Consider the following 10,940-nt stretch of genomic DNA (forward strand, 5'->3'; position numbering starts at 1 on the left):
AGAAAACAACAACAGCAGCATCAACAAAAGAAGTCCCCACACAGACCCTCTTCCAAGGGTTAGCAGCCTCAAAGACCTAAACTAGATGAACTCATGATGATGAGAAAGAATCGATGAAAAAATGCTGAAAACTCAAAAGGGCAGAGTGTCTCTTCTCCTCCTAATGATCACAATGGCTCTCCAGCAAGGGCACAGAACTGGACGGAGGTTGAGATGGATAAATTGACAGAAGCAGGCTTCAGAAAGTGAGTACTAACAATATATATCTTGAACTTATTCTTTCTATTAATATCTAACTGAAATTTTGTGTTCTTCGATCAACATATCACCAACCTCTCTCCCCAAATAATCCCATGCCCTGGTAACAACTATTCTACCATCTAATTCTTTGAGATCAACTTTTTTAGATTCAAAATATGAGTAATATCATGTGGCATTTATCTTTCAGTGCCTGGCTTATTTCACTTAACATAGTGTCCTCCAGTCTGATTCAAGTTCCTGTGAATGACAGCATCTCATTCTTTTCTATGGCTGAATAGTATTCCATCATATACATATCACATTTTCTGTGTCCATTTATCTGTTGATGGACACTGAAGTTGTTTACGTATCTTAGCTAATGTGAATAATAGCACTGCCATAAACATGGACATGGAGATATCTCTTCAACATCCTCATTTCTTTTACCTCAAATTTATACTAAGTAGCAGGATTACTGAACCATATGGTAGTGCTATTTTTATTTCTTTTTAGGAATCTTGATACTGTTTCCCATAATGCCTGTACTAATTTATATTTCCACCAACAATTTGTGAGGGTTCCATTTTTTTCCTATCCTTACCAATTCTTGTTTTTGTTTATTTGATTATAGCTATTCTGACAGGTGCAAGGTGATATCCAATTGTGGTTTTAATTTGCATTGGCTGGTTGATTAGTGATGTTAAACATTTTTTATATATCTGTCTGTCATTTGCATGTCTTCTTTTGACAAATGTCTATTCAGGTCATTTGCCCATTTTTAAGTTGGGTTATTTATTGTCTTGCTATTGTTTGTATTTTATATGTATTTTGGATATTAACTACTTATCAGATATATAGTTTTCAAGTGTATTCTTATGTAGGTTTTCTCTTCACTCTGTTGATCGTTTCCTTTGATGTGCAGAAGCTTTTTAACTTGATGCAATCCCATTTGTCTATTTTTGTTTTTGTATCCTGTGCTTTTGGAGTCATATTCAAGAAGTCATTTCCCAGACCAATGTCATAAAGCTTTTCCCCTATGTTTTCTTCTAGTAGTTTTATAGTTTTGGGTCTTATGTTTAACTTTTTAATCAATTTTGAGTTAAATTCTGCGTATGGTGTGAGGTAAGAATCCAGTTTTATTCTTCTGCATGTGGATATTCAGTTGTCTCAAGATTATCCTGTCTTCATTGTGTGCTTTGAGCATAAAGTCTAAACTCAGCAAAAACTCTGGCTGAGAAATTGAATGACATTCAGCCAGAGGATATAACAATTGTACATATATATGCACCTAACAATAGGTACCCAGATATATAAAGCAAATGTTATTAAATCTAAAGGGAGAGATAGATCCCAGTACAATGATTGGTGTCTTCAATACTCGAATCAGCACTGGACAGACTGTATAGACAGAAAATCAATAAATATTTTATTTAAACTTCAGCACATATCAAATTAACCTAACAGACATTTACAGAACATTTCATCCAACAAATGCACAATATACAGTCTTCTTTTCAGGACATGGAATATTATTTGGAATAGACCATATGTTAGGGCACAAAACAAATCATAACAAATTTTTGTAAAAATTTAAATCATATACAGTATGTTTTCTGACCGCAGTGGTATAAAACTAAAAATCAATAACAATAGAAATTTTGGAAACTGTGTAAGTACATAGAAATTAAACAAAATGTTCCCAAATGACCAATACACTCATGATGAAATTAAGTAGGAAATTTAAAATATTCTTGAAACCAAAATAAAAACAGAACATAACAAAACTTATGCAGCTAAAGCAATACTAAGTGAAGTTTATATAAAAACACACATATCAAAAAATGGAAACTTTTAAATTAAAAACCTAACAATGTACCTCATGCAACTAGAAAAGCAAGAGCAAACCAAACCCAAAATTAGTAGAAGAAAATAAATAATAAAGACCAGAGCAGAAAGAAACAGAATAGCTACAAAAAACCCCCACAAAAACAGCCAAACAAAAAATTGGTTTTTGAAAAGACAAGCAAAATCTGCAAACTATTAGCTAAACTAAGTAAGATAAAAAAAAGAGATGGCTCAGGTCAATAAAATTAGAAACAAAAAAGGAGACATTACAACTGGTACCGTAGAAAGAGAAGGGATCATTAGATGCCTTTATGAACAACTGTACATCAACAAATTGAACAAATCTAGAGTAAGCAGATGAAATCCTAGACACATACAAGCAAGATTGAACCAAGAAGAACTAACAAAAATGAATGGACCATAACCAGTGACAAGACGGAATCAATTAATAAAGAAGTCTCGTAACAAAGAAGAGCCCACAATTAGATGGCATTGCTCTGAATTCTAACAAAATTATGAAGAACTAACACCAATTATTTTAAAAGACTGCAAAATAATAAAGGGGAGGGAATTCTTTCATATTCATTTTACAAGGCCAGCAGTACTCTGGTAGTAAAACCACACAAGGACACAACAAAATAAAAAAAACTACAGGCCAGCATCCCTGAGGAACATAAACACAAAAATCTTCAACTACATATTAGCAAACTGAATCCAACAGCACATTAACAAATTACACACCACGACAAAGTGAGATTTATCCCAGGATGTAAGGATGGTTCAATATATACACAAATCAGCAAATGTGATACAACACATCAACAGAATGGAAGACAAAAACCATATTGTCGTCTTAATAGATGCAGAAAAAACACTTGATAAAATCCAACATGACTTTATGATAAAAATATTCAACAAATTAGTTATAGAAGGAATGTGCCTCAATACAATAAAAGTCATATATGAAAAACATATAGATACCATCATACTGAACAGAGAAAAGTTGAAAGCTTTTCTTCTAAGAAAAAGAAAAAAGACAAGGATGCCCACTTTCACCACTCATATTCAACATAATATTAGAAATTCTAGCCAGAGCAATTAAGAAAGAGAAAGAAATATAGGGCATCTAAACTGTAAAGGACAAAGTCAGTTTGTCACCGTTTTGCACACAACATGAACTTATGTATAAAAACTGCTAAAGGCTACCCAAAAATCTCTGTTAGAACTGATAAATAAATGTAGTAAAGTTGTGGGATACAAAATCAACATACAAAAATTAGTGGCATTTCTACACACCAGTATTGGATATCTAAAAAAGAAATCAACAAAGCAATTCCCTTTTCAGTAGCTAGGAAAAATAAAACACCTAGAAATAAATGTAATGGAGGTGAAAAATCCCTATGTTGAAAATTACAAAACACTGATGAAAAAAAGATGGAAAAGGACACACAAAAAATAAAGACATCTGATGTTCATGAATTGAAAGAATTAACATTGTTAAAATGACTATACTACCCAAAGTAATCCACAAATTCAATGCACTGTCAATCTCATTACCAATGCCATTCTTCATGGAAATAAAAAAAACCTAAAATTTCTATAAAACCACCAAACATCCCAAATAGCTAAAGCAATTCTGAGCAAAAAGAACAAAGCTCCATCATCACGGTATCCAACTTCAAAATATACAACAATGCTATAGTAACCAAAACAGCATGGCACTCACTGAAAAACAGACACCTAAACAAATGGAACAAAATTGAGAACCCAGAAATAAATCTACATGTTTACAACCAACTGATTTTTGACAAAGATGACAAAAACATACATTGGGGAAAGGATTGTGTCTTCGATAAATGGTACTGATAAAACTAGATATCCCTATGTCAAAAAGTAAAACTAAGCCTATATTTCTTATCAAATACAAAAATCAATTCAAAATATGTTGAATATTTAAATGTAATACCTGAAACTACAAACCTACTCCATGAAAACAGGTGAAATGCTTAAGGACATTGATCTGAGCAATTTTTTTTTATAAGATCTCAAAAGCACAGGCAACAAAAGCAAAAATAAACAGCATTATACCAAACTAAAAAGCTTCTGCACAGCACAGGAAAAAAAAGTTAGCAAAGTGAAGAGACACCTGCAGCATGGGAGAAAATATTTGCAATTTATTAGACACAGGATTATTATTCAGAATATATAAGGGACTCCAACAACTCAACAGCATAAATATTTTAAATTGACAATAAAAAAAGTAATTTTTAAATTGACAAACTGAATAGACATTTCTCAAAAGAGTACATGCAAATGATCAATAAGGATATAAAAATGTTTATTTTTATATGCAAATCGAAACCACAGTGAAATGTTAGAATGGCTATTATCAAAAAGATTTAAAAAATAAACACTGGCAAGGATGCAGAGCAAAATAATCCCTTATACAGTATTTGTGAGACTGCAAATTAGTACATTTATTATGGAAAACAGTATGGAGGCTCGCCATGAACTAAAAATAGGACTACTATATGATATAGCTATCTCACTAGTTGGTATATATTTAAGGGAAAGGAAATCAGTATGTTGAAGAGCTATCTGCACTCCTATGTTTATTGCAGCACTATTCACATCATCCAAGAAATGGAATCAATCTCAGAGTCCATCAACAGATAAATAGGTAAAGAAAATGTGGTATTTCATACAAGGAATGCTCTTCAGCCATAAACAAGAATAAAATTCTGTCATTCAAAGCAACATGTATGAGACTGGAGGACATTATGTTAAGTGAAATAAGACAGAAAGAGAAATACACACGTGATCATTGATATAAGTAAGCTCTTTTTCTCATAGAAGTAGGAAGAAAAATAATGGTTACTAGAGGCTAGAAAGTGTAGGGGGCAGGGAGGATAGGGAAAGGTTGATTACAAGAGACAAAAGTAGTTAGATAGGAATAAGTTTTAGTGTTTCATAGCTCTTTAGATGGACTATAGTTGACAGTGATTTATTATGTATTTTCAAACAGCTAGAAGAGAGGATTTTGAATGTTTTCAACACAAAAAGAAGATAAATGTTTTAGATGATGGATATGCTAATTATCTTGTTTTGATCATTACACATTGTATACATGTATCAAAATATCTGTGTACCATATAATTATGTATGATTATTATATGTCAATTAAAAAACAAAACAAACTGAGTGACAAAAATAAGTTATAATTTGGGCATCCTGATGATTCATAATGTGTTCATTTCTGATGGAGAACTTACAAACCACTGAAAATACTTTCATATATTCTCTGGACTTACATGCCTATGAAGACGTATCTTAAAAGCTTACAATTTAAATTGGTGATCAAGTTTTCAACTATAAAAGTAATGTCTTAAAGAGACAAGGGGTCTTACAATAAAGGAAATAGGAACAAGACAAGATATAAGAAGTTGGATTACTGGATCAGAGTAAGAAAAAGGTAGCAAGTGGAAACTAGTAAAATTCTCTGAGCTCCTGGGCCTCTAGAGTACTATTAGTATTCTAGAAGGTAGGGACTTAGTAAGACCACTGTATGGGAAAGTGAAAGGAAATATCCTAGGTATTTTTGCCTTTTTTTCTTTTATCCCTTGCTTTTTAAATTTATCATAGACCTGATTACTTGTTGGAAAGGAATGGGTTTCCACAAATTAGTTTGTAAATTTTTTCACATGATTTATATTTTCATAAAAATCCACTGAGATTTTAATAATGCAAGTCTCCGTGTTTTCAAATAAAACAATCTGCAAGTTTGATTATGATAATTTTGTTTGTTGATTTTTTTGGGTAAATCAAACAGTCTACATAACATTCAGCATTCCAATTACTCTCCTTTCACATTTTATAATCATTGCGTCTTTCAGGCACATAGCCATAGCCAGTGTCTCCTTTACTGGGGAAAGATCTCTGAATTCCCTGGAAGCTCTTCATTAGTGAAATTTTTAAAAGTACATGTTCTCATAACCGCTGCATTTTTCCTGTTGATTGGATTTCTTTTCCCCATTTGCCTCTGAAATACACTGGCATGATCTGTTGTCTCAAGGCATATGGATTATGTACATATATGGAATGAGTATTTATATATCTTATTTTCTTTTTTATAAAATGATTCAAAGAGGCCACTTGCTTTTGTTCTTACAGAAGAACTTGGCTTTGATGGCTTATTGTCAATAGGTTAGATTTTTGGGAGAAAGTTAATTAGAGGGTAAAAGCAGTGTCCTTGGTCTTTGGTAGGAAATTAATTCTTCAAATAAACTAATATATACATATATATGTATATATATTATTCTTCAAATAAACTAATATGTACATATATACATATATTAGTTTATACATATATTTGAATTTTAAATATATGTATTTGAATTCATACATATATATACACACATATGAAATAAATATATATATTTCATTCCAGAAAAATGGTGACATTTTTACTGAATCATAGTAAATCAGATAATGTAATATCTGAGTTTTGTATTTCATATTCTTCATCAAAGATAAGAAATTCTTAAGAACAGGGATAAGAGATTTAACAAAAGATGATGGAAGTGAGATACAAGATTGTTTCTCTAAAAATAACACATTATAAACTCATTAAAAATGAGAAGTTAAACTGTATAATCATAGAGGTATTGATATATTTAGTGAATATCTCTCACTTGTATGCAATGTAGCCTAGGCTATTTTTGGGGAAGATTTTTGTCCTTCCAAATACTTGTTAAAAGAGAAACATGAAAAATGATGCAGCACTAAGACATAAAGGTAACAACTTTACAAAGAAGGATGAATCATTGCACATTCAACAATGGATCTCATCAAAATTGTTCTTAGCATCACATACTTTACATTCAATGGTCAATCTATGTACAAACTAGTGACTGAGCTATGGGTTCCCCATCTCATTTATCACAGCAGAACTATATCTTTCGCATTTCAAGAAAATTACAGAAAATAAAACTGCAATAAAACCAAAAAGCTGGAAACAGAGATGACACCCATGACAACATTTAAAAAAGGATACTAAAGATGTGCAGCCATCCGCTCAACTTACAATTAATACAAGACAAGATCGATGTCTGACTTTTCCTGGTGCAATATCTGGCTGAACCTGAAAGAGGACCCAATGGGAATGCACCAAAGATAGGAACAAATGCACGTTTAAATAGGTTATATTATTTATTTTAACTGATGTACACATCAGTATATCCATAGATTTCCCAGTGGCTCAACCTGAAATTCAGTGCAAATATGTACATAAGTAACATTTGTAAATCTGAACCATTGTTAAATCTGTGCTTTTGTTCTGAGCTAATACTATGCATTTCTTTCAAGGTGCTTATTCTTGGCTATAATCACTCCTTATTTGAGATATTTCTATTATGCAGACTTGTCTTGAGTAGCTATTGGGACTAAAAACTTTAGATTACATGTTTGTGTGTGTATATGAATGGGGGAGAAAAGGGACAAATAAAAACAGGGTGAAGAAGGATGCATACCAGGATAAATTCAAATCATATAGAATGTCCTGGTAATGCCCCTGAAACTAATCTGACCTCTACTCTGCAATCCTATTGTTCAGTGGTCTTCAAAATGGGGACACATGCCCCAGGGAACATGAGAAGAAAACTTTTAAGATTTATATTTGTATTTTAGCTTGTACTTTTCCAGTTTACATTTCATACAAATGTAATACTGTAAATAGTATAATTTTAAATTTAAATTTAAAATTAATACTAATTCATATATTGATAGCACATAATCAAGTTTTTTTTTTTTTTTTTTTAGTTTGGGGATCATTGCTAGACTTTACCAACTGGCCTGTATCTGACACTGTTCATAGCAGGAAAGTTGCAGAAAGACATAGGTTTCCTTCCAAGAAAACTTTCAGAGTTAACAAGTTGTTTTAGAAGAATGCATATGGAATCAAAAATCAATGATATGCGCTTATCACTGATAAGGGCATACCAAACCTGCTTTGATTCCCTCTTGTTTATTTTTGAAGGCCTAGCTTCTAAATTTGTAGTACAGTCCTAAATTCTAACCTAAGGGATTCAAATTACATGTAACATTTTCTGTCAGAAATATTGGGATGAGTTATCAAATGATGATTATTAAAATAAAGATGAGGTTAGTGAAAACAACTTTTTGGTCTCCTTTTTCTTAGGATGTCAGCATGAAGTATTAAGAGAAAAAAAACCTGGAATGACATATCTGTTTCCTATGCATGTGAATTTGTTTTCATAAGGCATGTAACAGAAATGAACACTTTATAGCTCATTTGGAATTATATATAAAATAAAATTTATACAAAGAGAGAACAAAGCATGCTTATAAGATACACTTATGAGGCATATTAGTAAAAATTGTTAACTACAAAAAGAATGCAAACTTTCATTGGTTTTACTTTTACCTTAAACATTTAAAAGATGCTGTACATGAAAGAAGCTTACAGGAATCACTTATAGTGTAAAGAATACATAGGAAAGTTGCATTGAAATTCACAATAAAATATCAATATGTTTTTACATTCTCGCTTATTGGAAGACAAAATGTGAATGATATACTTGTACATATGCTCTGATTTGATGTCCATGTTTGTGTGTTTTAATGGCCTTTTATTAATTAGTTTGCATATTTTTGAATTTTGCTTACCACACACCACCCACTTTGAGTGATTCTCCAGGAGAGAGGGCCATGCTTTTCTAGTCTGATTCATCTGAATTACCTCTGAGATGTTCCTCTGCCACCTTCACAACCATTCATCAGCTTTGGCTTAAAATACTGGCTACAGTGAGCCATTTTTACTGATGGGCACACATTTTAGTGGGAAGAGGTCGAGAACTCCTGTGGAGCCAGCATGGCCAATTTTTATTTCAGTACATTTATTTCTATCAAACTTGGATAAGACGCTACCTCTTAACATGTCTTTAGGCAGAATTTCAAGTAAAAATCTGCTCTCCTCTCAATTTTTGGTAGGATTCACACAAATATTTCCCTTTTTTAACTAAGTCAGTAATTGGCCCTACCCCCGCTCTTTGATTATCCTCTTTTATCAGTCAGGGTTCAATCAGAATACAGAAACCACACAATCCATTTGAACAGGGATCATTTAATATAAATAACTATTAACTATAATGGCAAATTGTCTTTGAAGAAGAGAAGAAAACTCAGAAGACTACCCTGGGGAGAGTACCCAAGGAAAAGTCAACTTGGAAGGATGACCCTTCCCAAACCTGGGATTTAGGCCTTGTTGGAGAAAGTATGGTTGCAGCCCACTGCACAACAGAGAAGTTTTCTATGTTGCCTGGATCCGAGCTGGTCCAAAATCACCAGGAAAGGTGGAAACACTTCTCTGGGGTGGAGGTAAGCCAAAGGCTGTCAGTCAGAGAAGTCAGCCAAGACAGGAAACACTTCTCCAGCGTGCAGGTGGACACAAAATTACAGTTGAAATTAGCAAGTAGGAAACACCCCTGCTGGTTGGTTTAGGCTACAACGCCAACAACTAGGGTGCCTGCAAGCCTCCCTGAGAATTTGCTTGCAGTGTTCTGTGGAAACTTGATGGGAAGGCATCCACGAGTCTGATCTCCACTGGATATATCTCATATGCATTGCTGACAGCTACACAGCAGGAGCAAGTACAAGCAAACCAAAGCATACCAGAATCAGAAGAGAAAACTGTTCTTGGTGTTTCTCTATACTCTACTAACAAAAGAAAACACAGTTTCAGCAACGAAGGAGAAATATTTAAAAGGTGCAGCTCGATTTTTGCAAAAACAGTGAATGAAGAGAGGATTTGAACCTGAGAGGCAATAAATTGACAACTTGCACATTTCTTTTAGTTTGGTTCATTACTATCAGTGTCTCCCTCCCTTCTTCTACTACCCACAATCTACGGTGAAGATTATCTTCCCCTCCCTCACCTACAGCAACTAGCACATTTTTTTTCTATAAAGTGAGATATTATTTGTTATTAAAATAAGATTCCATACTCAACATAGCACTATTAGTGTAAAGGCTAAAAGTATGGAGTCTGGAGACCAACTATGAACATGCAAATCTTATCCCTGCCTCATTCTACTTATAGGACTGTGGGATAGTAATCTAAACTATCATTGTCTCGGTTTCCTCATTTGCATTTTGAAAACAATAATTCTACCCTTATTGTTTTGTGGTTTATATAAATGGAAAACATTAGACTAGTGCCTACAGCATAATATGTACAATAATTACCATCAGTTCATATTATTCTTCTTTCTCTTCTTCTATGATTCTCCCCCAACATCCAATAGTAAATACTGTTGAATAAATGAATAAAGATCTATAGATGCTCATACTTTTTTTTGAATCATACATTTAAGGAATGAATGAGAGGAATGAAGGAATTATTCTGGCTTTAGAAAATCCAGTTCATTCTACTGTAGCTACTTCATACTTTGTCTTCATTCTTCAGTACATTAACCCCTAAATAGTTGTGTGAACAACCCAATAGTCCCAACCATTTTATTTGGATTGGAAGACATTGTTTAGTCTGAGATCACACATACCAACGACAACTAAACACAAGTTGGTTGTTCTTACCTTGATTCTATGATAGTGGTGATGAAGCAGGGGGTGGGGTAGGTATGAAGAAGATAAATAATTTGCAATATATCTTAGACTTCATAGTTTGAATTAGATTGCCTGTAGTTCAAAATAAGTACAAAATATTCTTTCTTATATGAGGAGTCACTTCCTAGCTGATTCTCCTTATTTCTAATTTCTCACTTCTGTAGCTCCCCTTATAGGCAGCCACTTTCATTTGGTGCATTCACTTTTAATTATAA

The 10,940-nt window shown here is 33.0% G+C and overlaps 1 annotated feature.

The window, feature by feature from the left end:
• Nucleotides 7,688-7,857: an enhancer, noted in NCBI's record as "experimental_26470 CRE fragment used in MPRA reporter constructs". NCBI's record gives its function as "activates a minimal promoter by MPRAs in K562 erythroleukemia cells, with activity observed for both the introgressed and non-introgressed 12:17640763 variant alleles {active_cell/tissue: K562}" and the evidence as "EXISTENCE:reporter gene assay evidence [ECO:0000049][PMID:34662402]".

The sequence above is a fragment of the Homo sapiens genome, chromosome 12 (assembly GCF_000001405.40).
Source record: "Homo sapiens chromosome 12, GRCh38.p14 Primary Assembly".
In the NCBI taxonomy this organism is placed as follows: domain Eukaryota; kingdom Metazoa; phylum Chordata; class Mammalia; order Primates; family Hominidae; genus Homo; species Homo sapiens.